The sequence below is a fragment of the Homo sapiens genome, chromosome 10 (assembly GCF_000001405.40).
Source record: "Homo sapiens chromosome 10, GRCh38.p14 Primary Assembly".
Lineage (NCBI taxonomy): Eukaryota > Metazoa > Chordata > Mammalia > Primates > Hominidae > Homo > Homo sapiens.
The window spans coordinates 24649595-24665274 of NC_000010.11; the positions used below are offsets into that span (position 1 = coordinate 24649595).

At 43.7% G+C, this 15680-nt stretch overlaps 1 protein-coding gene and 1 pseudogene across 25 annotated transcripts in view; both read right to left on the bottom strand.

The window, feature by feature from the left end:
* Window positions 1-15680, bottom strand: part of ARHGAP21 (Rho GTPase activating protein 21) — a 140274-nt gene that overhangs the window by 65981 nt on the left and 58613 nt on the right. The window contains exon 5 of one of the 25 annotated variants that reach the window (NM_001367450.1): window positions 1097-1361. The exons of 23 other annotated variants lie outside the window; for them this stretch is intronic. Coding sequence is in view for 1 of the 2 variants with exons in the window: in XM_011519606.3 (XP_011517908.1) it covers window positions 1285-1348 (64 nt within the window). In the remaining variant the exon portion in view is untranslated. Of the gene's footprint in view, window positions 1-1096; window positions 3665-15680 lie in introns of those variants that run through there. One more of the 25 variants, XM_011519606.3, reaches the window with a different exon arrangement.
* Window positions 10947-11460, bottom strand: COQ10BP1 (coenzyme Q10B pseudogene 1; annotated as a pseudogene).

The window sequence follows — 15680 nt, forward strand, 5'->3', positions numbered from 1 at the left end:
TGTCCCTGGACAAAAGCAAACACCAATCAACTTGGAGAAGAGATTTTTTGTCTTAGATCTCAAAGAATCCCCAAGTAATAATTTTTGAAGGTCATAAAACACAAAGCAGTTAAAAAAAAAAAACCATGGAAAACAACAATATTCTAAGCTAAAGCTTAGAAAACAAACCAGAGAAAACAAACAAGAGAAACAGATTCAAAAACTTCTGATAAAGGAATCACCAGGCACAGATTATAAAAAAATTCCGCTTACCATGTCTGAAGAAATAAAAAGATAAAACTAAAAGTAGTCCAGGTGAAGAAACTATAAGAAGTGATCAAGCATATTTGCTGCAGTACCCTAAAAAACTTCTCATAATCAAACTTTAAAACTTAACTAAAAAGAAATTTACTGAACATATATTGGAAGAAATTAACTAGAATGCAGACCAGAAAGACAAAAAAGAAGAAGAAAAAGAAAAACTAGAGAATTTAGTAGCCATGGGAGATGGAGTAAGAATGAAATAATATCTTCAATATTACTGAATAATTGTGTACCCAGCAAAAATACCTTCCAAAAATAAGGGCAGAACACAGATATTTCACAGAAAAAAGGAGAGAGAATTACATCACATATAAGTAACATGTTGGAGCCAGGCGCAGTGGCTCATGCCTATAATCCCAACTACTCAGGAGGCTGAGGCTCTGAGTAGTGCCTGAGGGGGACTGCCTGAGGCCAGGAGTTCAAGATCAGCATGGGTAACACAGTGAGACCCCATCTCTTTAAAAAACAACAAAAAAAGCAACATGTAGATAGGAAGGAGATAATGGAGTTAAAATGTTCTAAGGTCCTTATATTTTGTAAGAGTAGAACAGAATTTTAAGTAGCATCAGACTTCGATGTGCTTGCATATTGTTTCTAGGATAACCACTGAAAGAAGGGTAATAATGTTCTTTAACCTTTCAAGTAGAAAGTATAAAAGAAAAATTATTTTTTAATCTCAGAAAAGAGAAAAATATAAGAATGAACCAAGAGAAAGTTCAAAATAAAAGATTAAACAATAAATACATAATTAATTACATTAAATACATACGTGAAAATTTCTAAATCTACCTACAGTGAACTAGCTGGTTACAGAATCAACTCTTCCACCCATGAATAATAGCCAGAAAAGCTAGACGATGTATAACCACATTTGTGTGAAGGCACCAGAAAGCTACCAAGGCAGAGATGGCTTAATGGGACAAGCTTCCAAATAGATGGAAATCCAGAGAGGTGAGTCCAGTGCTTTGCACAACTGTTCACCTTGAGGCGTTTCCTGTTTCCAAAGTAATGGCTGAGAGACTGACCAGCTGCACAGAGCTTCCATCAATCTCAAAAGGCTGAGGAGACAAAAAAAAAAAGGAACTTCAGGGCCAGCCAAGGAAAAGAGCTCTAGAAAACACCATGTTTTCACTTGGGGTCCCCAAAAGAATACAACCTGTGAGCAGGGATGAAAAGAAAAAGGCCAACCATGTCAAGCATGGAGGTGGGCTGTTCCTCTGCACACCTCCTTCTGAAGAACTTGCCGAGGGGAAGACTGTGACTGACAGCCCCAGCTGCCGCCCTTTGGATCCATCACCATGTTCACACAGAGGCCACATTTCCCCATTCCTGCCCAAAGCAGGATTCTTCTAAAAGACAAGTGTTTGCCTGGGGACTCTTCACTGGCCTAGCAGAGGCATTCTTAGATCTGTGCTGCAGGCTGGGGCCCTTCCTACCAATTCTTTCCTTTCCTCTCTTCTTTCACAGGGGTCAGGCCTGTCTCATGGTCTCAGGTTTTCCCCTGTCCTCTCTTGCTTTCTTCTTTATCCTTTACAAGCATTGCCCCCAATAAGCCTTCTGCATATCTCATCCTGGTTTAGTTTATGCTTCCATCTTGATGTCTGCTACTCAACACCAATTATCAGATCAAGGCCTGACTTTAGGTGAAGGCAATCCTTGAGCAGAGATGCAAAAATTCTAAATAAAACAGAAAACCAAATCTGGTGATATATAAAAAGCATCACACACTGTGGACAAGTTTGGTTTAGTCCAGTAATGCAGGGCTGGTTTCATATTTGAAAACTTTATCAACATGATCTACTACATTAAGTGATTAAGGAAGAAAAATCCAAGGATTATCCCAAAAGATGCAGACCATTTTAACACTCATTCATGAGAGAGATACACCAGATTCATAGATCAAAAGATTCCATATTTCAAATATTCCAGTATTATAAACAATATAAAACAAATCAAAATTCCAACAGAATTTTTTTCATGTGGGTATAGAAACTGAAAATTTGATTCTAAGAAGACATTCTACCCAATAGCAGCACTTATTATAAAGCCACATTAATTAAAATAGTGTTGTTTTGGTGCAAAGAAAGTGATCAATGGAATAGAACAAAGGTTGGCAAACTTTTTCTGTAAAGAGCCAGACAGTAAATATTTTAGGCTTTCTGGGACACATGCAATCTCCGTCGCATATTCTTCTTTTTTTAACAACCCTATAAAAATACAGATCTATTCTTAGCTTGGAGGCTGTACAAAAATGAGCCATGGGTCAATCCCTGGAACAGAAGCAAGTCTAGAAACAGATCTACACACATACAATTTATGATCAAGGTGGTATTACAGAGCTCTAGAGAAAGTATGGACTTTCCACAAAATAGTGTGGGGCCAAATAAATATCTACATAGGAAAAAAATTCATCTTGACCTCATATCATATGCAAAAATAATCAATTTCAGGTGGACTTTAGGCTTAATTGTGAATAACGCATCTTGAAGATGACACAGGAGGATATCTGCATGACCATGGAGTAGAAAAAAATTCTTACCTAGAACTCATAAACTATTAACCACAAAAGGAAAGACTGATCATTCAGAGGACATTAAAATTAGAAACTTCCCTTTATAGAAATTACTAATACGAAACTGAAAGGCAAGTCACAGGTTGAATTACCTGCTAATAGTATATCACTAACAAAGTCCTCATCCACAATATTTAAAGAATGCCTACAAGTTAATAATAAAAAAAGAACTGACAGGTAAAATCCAAATAAAAGGTAATCAACCTCATTAGTCTTCAGGAAATCCAAATTAAAGCCATAGTCCACACCACTGTACATCCACTAGGATGATTAAAATTACAAAGACTGACAACAGCAAGTGTCAGTGAGGATACAGAGCAAGCGGAACTCTCATACACTGTTGCTGAGTGTGTAAATGGGTACGGTCCCCTCAGAAAACTGTTTAGCGGCATCTACTAAATGTAATCATATGCATACCCATGACCCAGCAATGCCTAGATATACATACCCTCTAGAAATGAGTACAAATGTGTACAAAAGTACACATACAAGAATACTCATAGCTGCATTGTTTGAAGTAGCTAAACACTGAAAAAAATTCAATGTCAATTAACAGTAGATTGGATAGGTTGTACATATTCTTTTTACAAACATCAGCTTTATTGAGGTATAACATACATAAGATAAAAAATACCCATTTTAAGTGCAGGGTTCAATAAGTTTAGACAACTGCATACACCCATGTAACCACTACCATAACCATGATATGGAACATTTCTATTATGCTAACAAGTTCCCTGGTACCCTTTCCCAGTCAATTCAGGAAACCACAGACCTGTTTAGAAGAGGATTTTGTTTTGTTTTGTTTAAGAGACAAGGTCTTGGCCAGGCGCAGTGGCTCACGCCTGTAATCCCAGCACTTTGGGAGGCCAAGGCGGGTGGATCATGAGGTCAGGAAATCGAGACCATCCTGGCTAACACGGTGAAACCCCGTCTCTACTAAAAATACAAAAAAAATTAGCCAGGCGTGGTGGCGGGCGCCTATAGTCCCAGCTACTTGGGAGGCTGAGGCAGAATGGTGTGAACCCGGGAAGCGGAGCTTGCAGTGAGCTGAGATCGCGCCACTGTACTCCAGCCTGGGCGACAGAGAGAGACTCTGTCTCAAAAAAAAAAAAATTAAAAAAAAAGAGACAAGGTCTCACTATTTGCTATGCTGCCCAAGATGGCCTTGAATTCCTGGGTTCAAGCAATCTTTCTGTCCTCAGCCTTCCCAGTAACCAGGTCTACAGGTGCAAACCACCATGCCAACTCACAGACCTGTTTAGATTACTCTTTCCTAGGATTTCATATAAATGGAATCAGATAGTACTCTTTTGTGCTTGATTTCTTCCACTCATCAAAATGTTTTTAACAACAAGAGCATGAGCAAAATAATAAAAAGTAGATAAATTATATTTTATCAAAATTAAAAACTTTTGTGCAGCAAAGGACATTACTAAGAAAGTGAAAAAAAAGAAGGTGAAAAGACGACCTACATAATGGAGGAAAATAGATGCAAATCATATATCTGATAAGGACTTGGTAACCAGAATATATAAATACAACCAAAGACAAAAACCACGATTATCTCAACAGATGCAGAAAAGGCCTTCGACAAGATTCAACAGCCCTTCATGCTAAAAACTCTCAATAAATTAAGTATTGATGGGACGTATCTCAAAATAATAAGAGCTATTTATGACAAACCCACAGCCAATATCATACTGAATGGGCAAAAACTGAAAGCATTCCCTTTGAAAACTGGCACACAACAGGGATGCCCTCTCTCACCACTCCTATTCAACATAGTGTTGGACGTTCTGGCCAGGGCAATCAGGCAAGAGAGAGAAATAAAGCATATTCAATTAGGAAAAGAGGAGGTCAAATTGTCCCTGTTTGCAGATGACATGATTGTATATTTAGAAAACCCTATCGCCTCAGCCCAAAATATCCTTAGGCTGATAAGCAAATTCAGCAAAGTCTTAGGATACAAAATCAATGTGCAAAAATCACAAGCATTCCTATACACCAATAACAGACAGCCAAATCATGAGTGAACTCCCATTCACAATTGTTTCAAAGAGAATAAAATACCTGGGAATCCAACTTACAAGGGATGTGAAGGACCTCTTCAAGGAGAACTACAAACCACTGCTCAACGAAATAAAAGAGGACACAAACAAATGGAAGAACATTCCATGCTCTTGGATAGGAAGAATCAATATTGTGAAAATGGCCATACTGCCCAAAGTAATTTATAGATTCAATGCCATCCCCATCAAACTAACAATGACTTTCTTCACAGAACTGGAAAAAACTACTTTAAAATTCATATGGAACCAAAAAAGAGCCTGCATTGCCAAGACAATCCTAAGCCAAAAGAACAAGGCTGGAGGCATCACACTACCTGACTTCAAACTATACTACAAGGCTACAGTAACCAAAACAGCATGGTACTGGTACCAAAACAGAGATATAGATCAATGGAACAGAACAGAGGCCTCAGAAATAACACCACATATCTACAACCATCTGATCTTTGACAAACCTGACAAAAACAAGAAATGGGGAAAGGATTCCCTATTTAATAAAAGGTGCTGGGAAAACTGGCTAGCCATACGTAGAAAGCTGAAACTGGATCCCTTCCTTACACCTTATACAAAAATTAATTCAACATGGATTAAAGACTTAAATGTTAGACCTAAAACCATAAAAATCCTAGAAGAAAACCTAGGCAATACCATTCAGGACATAGGCATGGGCAAGGACTTCGTGTCTAAAACACCAAAAGCAATGGCAACAAAAGGCAAAATTGACAAATGGGATCTAATTAAACTAAAGAGCTTCTGCACATCAAAAGAAACTACCATCAGAGTGAACAGACAATCTACAGAATGGGAGGAAATTTTTACAATCTACCCATCTGACAAAGGGCTAACATCCAGAATCTACAAAGAACTTAAACAAATTTACAAGAAAAAATCAAACAACCCCATCAAAAAGTGGGCAAAAGATATGAACAGACACTTCTCAAAAGAAGACATTTATGCAGCCAACAGACACATGAAAAAATGCTCATCATCGCGGCTGGAGGAGCGGACGGGCCCCGCGGGGCCCGAGGGCAAGGAGCAGCCGCCTGCCTTGGCCTCCCAAAGTGCCGAGATTGCAGCCTCTGCCCGGCCGCCACCCCGTCTGGGAAGTGAGGAGTGTCTCTGCCTGGCCGCCCATCGTCTGGGATGTGAGGAGCCCCTCTGCCTGGCTGCCCAGTCTGGAAAGTGAGGAGCGTCTCCGCCCGGCCGCCATCCCATCTAGGAAGTGAGGAGCGCCTCTTCCCAGCCGCCATCACATCTAGGAAGTGAGGAGCGTCTCTGCCCGGCCGCCCATCGTCTGAGATGTGGGGAGCGCCTCTGCCCCGCCACCCCATCTGGGATGTGAGGAGCGCCTCTGCCCGGCCGAGACCCCGTCTGGGAGGTGAGGAGCGTCTCTGCCCGGCCACCCCGTCTGAGAAGTGAGGAGACCCTCTGCCTGGCAACCACCCCGTCTGAGAAGTGAGGAGCCCCTCCGCCCGGCAGCTGCCCCGTCTGAGAAGTGAGGAGCCCCTCCGCCCGGCAGCTGCCCCGTCTAAGAAGTGAGGAGCCTCTCCGCCCGGCAGCCACCCCATCTGGGAAGTGAGGAGTGTCTCCGCCCGGCAGCCACCCCGTCCGGGAGGGAGGTGGGGGGGGTCAGCCCCCCGCCCGGCCAGCCGCCCCATCCGGGAGGGAGGTGGGGGGGTCATCCCCCCGCCCGGCCAGCCGCCCCGTCCGGGAGGTGAGAGGCACCTCTGCCCGGCCGCCCCTACTGGGAAGTGAGGAGCCCCTCAGCCTGGCCAGCCACCCCGTCCGGGAGGGAGATGGGGGGGTCAGCCCCCCCACCCGGCCAGCCGCCCCGTCCGGGAGGGAGGTGGGGGGGTCAGCCCTCCGCCCGGCCAGCCGCCCCGTCTGGGAGGTGAGGGGCGCCTCTGCCCGGCCACCCCTACTGTGAAGTGAGGAGCCCCTCTGCCCGGCCAGCCGCCCCGTCCGGGAGGGAGGTTGGGGGGTCAGCCCCCCGCCCGGCCAGCCGCCCTGTCCGGGAGGGAGGTGGGGGGGGTCAGCCCTCCGCCCAGCCAGCCGCCCCGTCTGGGAGGTGAGGGGCGCCTCTGCCCGGCCGCCCCTACTGGGAAGTGAGGAGCCCCTCTGCCCGGCCAGCCGCCCCGTCCGGGAGGGAGGTGGGGGGGTCGGCCCCCCGCCCGGCCAGCCGCCCCGTCCGGGAGGGAGGTGGGGGGGTCGGCCCCCCGCCCGGCCAGCCGCCCCGTCCGGGAGGGAGGTGGGGGGGTCGGCCCCCCGCCCGGCCAGCCGCCCCGTCCGGGAGGGAGGTGGGGGGGTCGGCCCCCCGCCCGGCCAGCCGCCCCGTCCGGGAGGGAGGTGGGGGGGTCGGCCCCCCGCCCGGCCAGCCGCCCCGTCCGGGAGGGAGGTGGGGGGGGGGTCAGCCCCCCTGCCCGGCCAGCCGCCCCGTCCGGGAGGTGAGGGGCGCCTCTGCCCGGCCGCCCCTACTGGAAAGTGAGGAGCCCCTCTGCCCGGCCAGCCGCCCCGTCCGGGAGGGAGGTGGGGGTGTCAGCCCCCCGCCCGGCCAGCCGCCCCGTCCGGGAGGGAGGTGGGGGGGGTCAGCCCCCCTGCCCGGCCAGCCGCCCCGTCCGGGAGGTGAGGGGCGCCTCTGCCCGGCCACCCCTACTGGGAAGTGAGGAGCCCCTCTGCCCGGCCAGCCGCCCCGTCAGGGAGGGAGGTGGGGGGGTCAGCCCCCGGCCGGCCAGCCGCCCCGTCCGGGAGGGAGGTGGGGGGGGGGTCAGCCCCCTCGCCCGGCCAGCCGCCCCGTCCGGGAGGTGAGGGGTGCCTCTGCCCGGCCGCCCCTACTGGGAAGTGAGGAGCCCCTCTGCCCGGCCAGCCGCCCCGTCCGGGAGGGAGGTTGGGGGGTCAGCCCCCCGCCCGGCCAGCCGCCCCGTCCGGGAGGTGAGGGGCGCCTCTGCCCGGCCGCCCCTACTGGGAAGTGAGGAGCCCCTCTGCCCGGCCACCACCCCGTCTGGGAGGTGTGCCCAACAGCTCATTGAGAACGGGCCAGGATGACAATGGCTGCTTTGTGGAATAGAAAGGCGGGAAAGGTGGGGAAAAGATTGAGAAACCGGATGGTTGCCGTGTCTGTGTAGAAAGAAGTAGACATGGGAGACTTTTCATTTTGTTCTACACTAAGAAAAATTCCTCTGCCTTGGGATCCTGTTGATCTGTGACCTTGCCCCCAACCCTGTGCTCTCTGAAACATGTGCTGTGTCCACTCAGGGTTAAATGGATTAAGGGCGGTGCAAGATGTGCTTTGTTAAACAGATGCTTGAAGGCAGCATGCTCGTTAAGAGTCATCACCAATCCCTAATCTCAAGTAATCAGGGACACAAACACTGCGGAAGGCCGCAGGGTCCTCTGCCTAGGAAAACCAGAGACCTTTGTTCACTTGTTTATCTGCTGACCTTCCCTCCACTATTGTCCCATGACCCTGCCAAATCCCCCTCTGTGAGAAACACCCAAGAATTATCAATAAAAAAATAAATTAAAAAAAAAAAAATGCTCATCATCACTGACCATCAAGAGAAATGCAAATTAAAACCGCAATGAGATACCATCTCACACCAGTTAGAATGGCGATCTTTAAAAAGTCAGGAAACAACAGGTACTGGAGAGGATGTAGAGAAACAGGAAAGCTTTTATACTGTTGGTGGGATTGTAAACTAGTTCAACCATTGTGGAAGACAGTGTGGCGATTCCTTAAGGATCTAGAACTAGAAATACCATTTGATCCAGCCATCCCGTTACTGGGCATATACTCAAAGGATTATAAATCATGCTGCTATAAAGACACATGCACACACACATATGTTTATTGCGGCACTATTCACAATAGCAAAGACTTGGAACCAACCCAACTGTCCATCAATGATAGACTGGATTAAGAAAATGTGGCACATGTACACCATGGAATACTATGCAGCCATAAAAAAGGATGAGTTCATGTCCTTTGTAGAGACGTCGATGAAGCTAGAAACCATCATCTGAGCAAACTATCGCAAGGATAGAAAACCAAACACTGCATGTTCTCACTCATAGGTGGGAATTGAACAATGAGAACACCTGTACACAGGGTGGGAAACTTCACACACTGGGGCCTGTTGTGGGGTGGGGGGAGAGAGGAGGCATAGCATTAGGAGATATACCTAATGTAAATGACGAGTTAACGGGTGCAGCACACCAACATGGCACATGTATACATATGTAAAAAACCTGCACATTGTGCACATGTACCCTAAAGTATTAAAAAAAAATACTTATACCTCAACAACAAAAAACAACCCAATTTAAAAACAGGCAATGGATTTGAACAGAAATTTCTCCACACAACATACACAAATGGCGACAAGCACACAAAAAGATGCCCAAAGTCATTAGGCATTAAGGAAATACAAGTGAAAACCACAGTGAGATACCACTTCACACCCACTGGGTTGGCTATAATACAAAAATGGAAAACAACACATGTTGGAGAGGATGTACAGAAATTAGAACCCTCATTCATTGCTGGTGGAGACATAGAAATGGTATAGCCACTGTGGAAAACGGTTTGGCAGTTCCTCAAAATATGAAACATAGGATTACCATGTGACCTAGCAACTCTATTCCTAGGTATAACCTCCAAAAATTGAAAACAAGAATTCAGACAAACACCTGTGCATGCATGTTCACAGCAGCACTATTGTCCAAAGAAGATATACAAATGGATCTTTTATTGTTATCTACCTTTCAAAGGAACAGAATCCTCTTTCTTTTTTTTGAGATGGAATTTCACTCTTGTTGCCCAAGATGGAGTGTGATGGCGGATCTCGGCTCACTGCAATCTCCGCCTCCCGGGTTCAAGCGATTCTCCTGCCTCAGCCTTGCGAGTAGCTGGGATTACAGGCATGTGCCACCACACCCGGCTAATTTTGGATTTTTAGTAGAGATAGGGTTTCTCCATGTTGGTCAGGCTGGTCTCGAACTCCCAACCTCAGGTGATCTGCCCACCTCGGCCTCCCAAAGTGCTGGAATTACAGGCGTAAGCCACTGCGCCCGGCCCAGAATCCTCTTTCTTACGTATTTTCAAGAATGAATTATGTGAGAGTAAAGAACTTTCTTTTTTTTGTTTTGTAGATAGAGATCTTGCTATGTTACCCAGGCTGTTCTCAACCTCCTGGCCTCAAGCTGTTCTCCTGCCTTGGCCTCCCAAAGTGCTGGGATTACAGGCATGGGCCACTATACCCATCCAAGAGTAAAGAACTTTATTGAGAGGCTGTGGTAGAAACTTAGAGACTGCCTGAGTTGTAGTCCAGTTCTGCCACCTGCTAGTAACTTAAACACTCTGCACCTTAGTTTCATCATCTGAAATATGGCGGTGATAATAACACCCACCTTAGAAGCTGTTGAGAAGGTTAAATGAGTTAATCCATGCAAAGTCTTAGAATGCAGCCAGTACACTGTTAAATTAGCTGCCACCACCACCACTACCATCATCATTATCATCTTCATCATCATCATTATTCTTCCTACTTCCTAAAATATCCTCAAGAATATTTAAGACACCTGTGATTGTACTAATAACCAGCATTAAAAGTTCATAAAAAACATACCTAATTAGTATGTTTCCCTAACTATCAGAGAAACTCAAATAGTTTAAATGGTCAGTATAGTTAAAAATGACTCTGGGAGGCAGTGGGGCACAACTGTAGTCCCAGCTACTTAGGAAGCTGAGGCAGGAGGATCACTTGAGCTCATGAATTTGAGGCTGCAGTGAGCTATCATCATGCCACTACACTCCAGCCTGGGCACAGAGCAACACCCTCTCTCTCTTAAAAAAAAAAAAAAAAAAAAAAAAGATGCTGAAGGGTTCAGTGAATGTTCCCTCCCAAAGACTTCAGAAAAGAGATCCATGTAACGCTGCTACATTTTGAAAGCAATTCTAAACATGCTTCTGATACCCCACCCAAAGCCTTCGATCATGGACCATGCTTGAAAAGTCTCCCATCAGTACAGGATACCTTTACCAAATGAGGTTTCACCAAGGTTACTGCTGAATATCACTCCAACACTGGTGGAAACTCAATTTCTAATTATGTTTTGTAATATCCAGATCTCTCTGATATTATATCTGATTTTTTGCACCAAAGAATGAAATGCTTATAATCCTCCATTCCCAATACAACATCATACATTTCCTGCATTAAATAGCCTAAAATCCTCCTCTCTGAATATTTCCTTTTATTAATGGTGCAGCGATTGTGAAGAAAGTTATTGCACATATCTCCTTAATCAAAATTGACATATGTAGCGGAAGAGCTCTGCTCATCAGTATACCACAGGAAGCTAAATATCGGATGTTCTGCTCAGGCCCCTATGCTGAGCCAGGGCTCCAACCACTGTCATCAACTTTGGATGGCATCCCGAGACCACCCTTCTCTCAAGGCCATCTGACCAGTCCCAGCTGCCGAAAGACTCACTGAAGCTGGCTGCTACCATCCCACTATTCTTATTTTGATTATTTATATTCATAAATTCTTTAAAATATTATTTATAATTATATTACATTAGAACATGTTATACTATATTGTTATATATTTATATTATAAATTATTATTTATATTCTCCAGAGATTTAAGGGAATACAGGATGTCAGCAAGGTATTAATTATCTACAAGCAACTATTACCACCAAAAATATTATTTTACTTAACCTTTTTCTTATAAAAAATCTGCATCATAGTACAGAAAACTAACCAACAAGAAGAAAAAATACTTTTAAAATATAAAAGAGTGCATACATAAAGGATATGAGAAACAAAGCAAAATGCAAACACTGGGTAAGTAAAATAATCAGAAAATTAAATGGCTCGGTATTTCTTGGTTGATAAGAAAGAAAAAAGAAAATTAAGTGGCAAAAGAGATTTCACTAAACTGCCAAAAGGAAAGAAGACCAAAACAAAATCATTCAACTGTTTAACAGAATTTTGGCATTTTAACAGCATCTCTTAGGAGTTTGAATAAAATCCTGGCAATTATTTTCTCTCCAGTGATTCTAGGCTTTGACTCTGATCATTACACTGGAGGCTCCGATTCCATTAAACTAACACAAAATTCTACATAAGAAGGATTTCATGATCTCAATATGCTTGAAAATAAGTTATCAAAGGAAATGAGACAGTAAGATAAAAATCATAACATTCTGTTGAATTAAAATACTAAATTATACATAGTTTGTTTCTGAATAGGTTGCATTCTAAAAACTGACTTGTAAATAATTGTCTAGAAGTTAGAAGAAATTTTTTTCACATACAATATGGTGTAATTGTTGATCAGGTTATTTGCAATGGTATCATGACTATCATACTTAGGGCTAAACAGGCCTTTGTGAAATAGCCTGAGACCCCAACGATCAACTGGGATGCCAACAGCAAACTCACACTTGGAAAGCAAAGGTGCGATCAAGGTAGGTGGAGCACTAGGACTCCATAACCTCATTAAGCTTTGCAGGTCCACTGCTAGCCAAGTACTGAAACTGAGTAACAAGTGATGGTTGCTCCTGCAAAGTGTTCACAGCCTCTAAACCTGGGATCTCCTTGACCTTTCTCCATGCAGGATTCACAGAATTAATTTCATAACATACTAAACATACCCTATATTTATCTTCTAATTCTTAACACTACATAAGTCATACCCTTTTTTTTAAGACATTATTTTTAAAATAAAATTAAAGAAATGAGGAAGGGACTTAAAAAGATGTTAACAGAAGTAAGAGGGCAGAATTATAAGATGGACCTAAGAGTTAGACACAACTGATTTGGAAATCCAGTTACTACCACTTACTAGCAGTGTGACTGTGGGCAAGCTATTTCTCAGCCTCAGTTCCCTCATCTACAAAATAAGAATATTATCTCATACCTTACAGGGTTAGAGTGAGGATTAAAGACGATAAAAATATGTATTATGATGCCTGAAATAGATTAAGTTCTCAGTCATGCGCTAATTTCCACCACTCTCCCAACCCACTCCCCAAAATCAAGCAGTTCTTCCAAATATATTACAATTGTATTATAAATCACTTTCTCCAAATACTCTCATACCTTTCCATATTCTTCTTTGCTTAGGAAGAAAACTACAGATCTTCTGGACTTAATACATATCCAACCTTGTTGAACTTTGATCAGAAGAGGTAAGGTACTTGAATTTCTATTTCTCTCATTTTAAAGCCTTAGTTTTCTGATTTTTAAAATTATCTTATTAGTCTTTTAACTAACTTATTGATTTACCTTTTTGTTAACCTCACTTATAATTATTTTCTCCCTCAACCTGTTAGACCCCTGATGGTAAACTTTTACTACATTTCAATTACAGTTGTCCCTTGAACAATGGGTTTGAACTCTGCAGATATGCGGATTTTTTTTTTTTTTCAGTAAAAATATGGTATTCATAGTAACACAAGGATGCAAAAGCTGTGTTTCCAATACATGGGTTCCACAGGGTCTATTACAGGACATGAATGTGTGCAGATTAGCATATATGTGGGCGGTCCTGGAAGCAATCCCCTGGGTATATCAAGGGATGACTGTATTTACATCCTTTATGGACTTTTTCTTTTAGCCATCTTATCTTCTAGTTATTATATTGACTCTATATTTTCTTACAATGTAACTTTTCTTACTTAGGATTATCCCTTAATCAACAACGCACAATGCCAGTAAAGCAACCAGATAATTTAACCTCAAACTATAGCAGTAACTCAATTCAGATCTCAAGTTCAGTTGTAAGGGATAATAATCATAAAAGATCACCGGATATGCAGCCTTGAATATCCATTCTTCTAAACGGTTTGAATGTTGTCACTGGATCAAGCCAGACTCATGGCCTATACACTTGGACCACAATGCTTTGGTGCCCATCACTTTAAACCAGGATTTCTTGTCCTTGCACTATTAATATTCGGGACCAGGTAATGGTAATAACTATTATTATTATTTTGAGACAGAGTCTTGCTCTGTCATCCATGTTGGAGTGCAGTGGTGCAATCTTGGCTCACTGCAACCTCCGCCTCCCAGGTTCAAGCGATTCTCCTGCTTCAGCCTCCTGAGTAGCTGGGATTAGAAGCGTGCATCCCCACCCCTGGCTAATTTTTTTATTTTTAGTAGAGAAGAGGTTTCACCATGTTGGCCAGGCTGGTCTCAAACTCCTGACCTCAAGTGATCTGCCCGCCTCAGCCTTCCAAAGTGCTGGGGTTACAGGCGTGAGCCACTGTGCCCAACCCAGATAATTCTTTGTTGTGGGGGGGCTGCCCTGTGCACTGTTTCAACAGCACCTCTGGCCTCTATCCACCAGATGCCAATATATACTCCCCCTCTCCCAACTGTGATAAAGATGTGTATAAAGAGGGTACATTACCATATACCTCCAGGGAGCAATATCATCCCCAGCTGAGAAGCGCTTTAAGCTGAATGAGACCTTGGGGTTTGCAGTCAGCTTACATTAAGGAACCACTTTAAAAACAGCCATAGGAAGAAGTGGTGTTGAAAATATCATCTACTATATCGCTCTTTGTTTTCCAAGGGAGAAACCCGTCTCAGACCTCAGTGCAAAATGTTGTTTTCTTAGAATAATGTGTATCCTTAACTGATCATATTCTCATCTTTTCTATGGCCACTGGCAAGCTCAAAAGCAAACTTACAGCCCACCGTCAATAACAGTATAGGACCGGCCAGGTGCAGTGGCTCATGCCTGTAATCCCAGCATTTTGGGAGGCCGAGGCAGGCGGATCATGAGGTCAAGAGACAGAGACCATCCTGGCCAACATGGTGAAACCCCGTTTCTACTAAAAATACAAAAATTAGCTGGGCGTGGTGGCGTGCGCTTTTAGTCCCAGCTACTGATGGTGGGTGAGGCAGGAGAATCGCTTGAACCCAGGAGGAGGAGGTGGCATTGAGCCGAGATCATGCCACTGCACTTCAGCCTGTCAACAGAGTGAGATTCCGTCTCAAAAAAAAAAAATAATAATAATAATAATAATAATAACAGTATAGATCCTAAACCGTGAATTTATGTGTACTAAATCTTCTGAATGTCAATTTAATTAATTTTTTACCATAATTGACCTTATATTTTATCTTGCTATAAATAAGGTGTTTCTTCATGTGGCCATAAACCCTTGAGTGAAATTAAGCATAAATTAATAATTAAAATAGGCAAACTGTTATCTTCTCCAGCAGATTATACCCTTTAGGCTCACTCTATTATTCCTCTTCAAATCTCCTTCTGCTGAATCTATAATAGATCTTCTAGTTTTCCCTTATAAATATTCAAGTTTATTCTCCCTAGCCAAAGCACAAAACTAAATCCATTCTCTTCAGCGAACTACGTCAGACACATAATGATCTGCATGAAGTTTTATAACAATGTCTTTCTATATTTATTAGAAATATATTCCCCCCCATAAGAAGCATGAATTCTAGATGCTGTGTGTCCAGTAGGTTGTCCAGGTATCAGCACATCAGCCTTTAGGATGATGGGAAGATGGAGTACCTACATCCTCCTTTCTCTTGCTGATGCCAGCTTCGTGAGTTTTCCCTTTCCCCACTAAGGCTTATTTCTAACCCATGCCAAGTAGCATTTGGAATTCATCCTAACCCTGGTGCATGACAGATGGTAATGCAGGAGTGGCTCATCTTGTACCAGTGACAACTATGAAGAGTCCTGCCT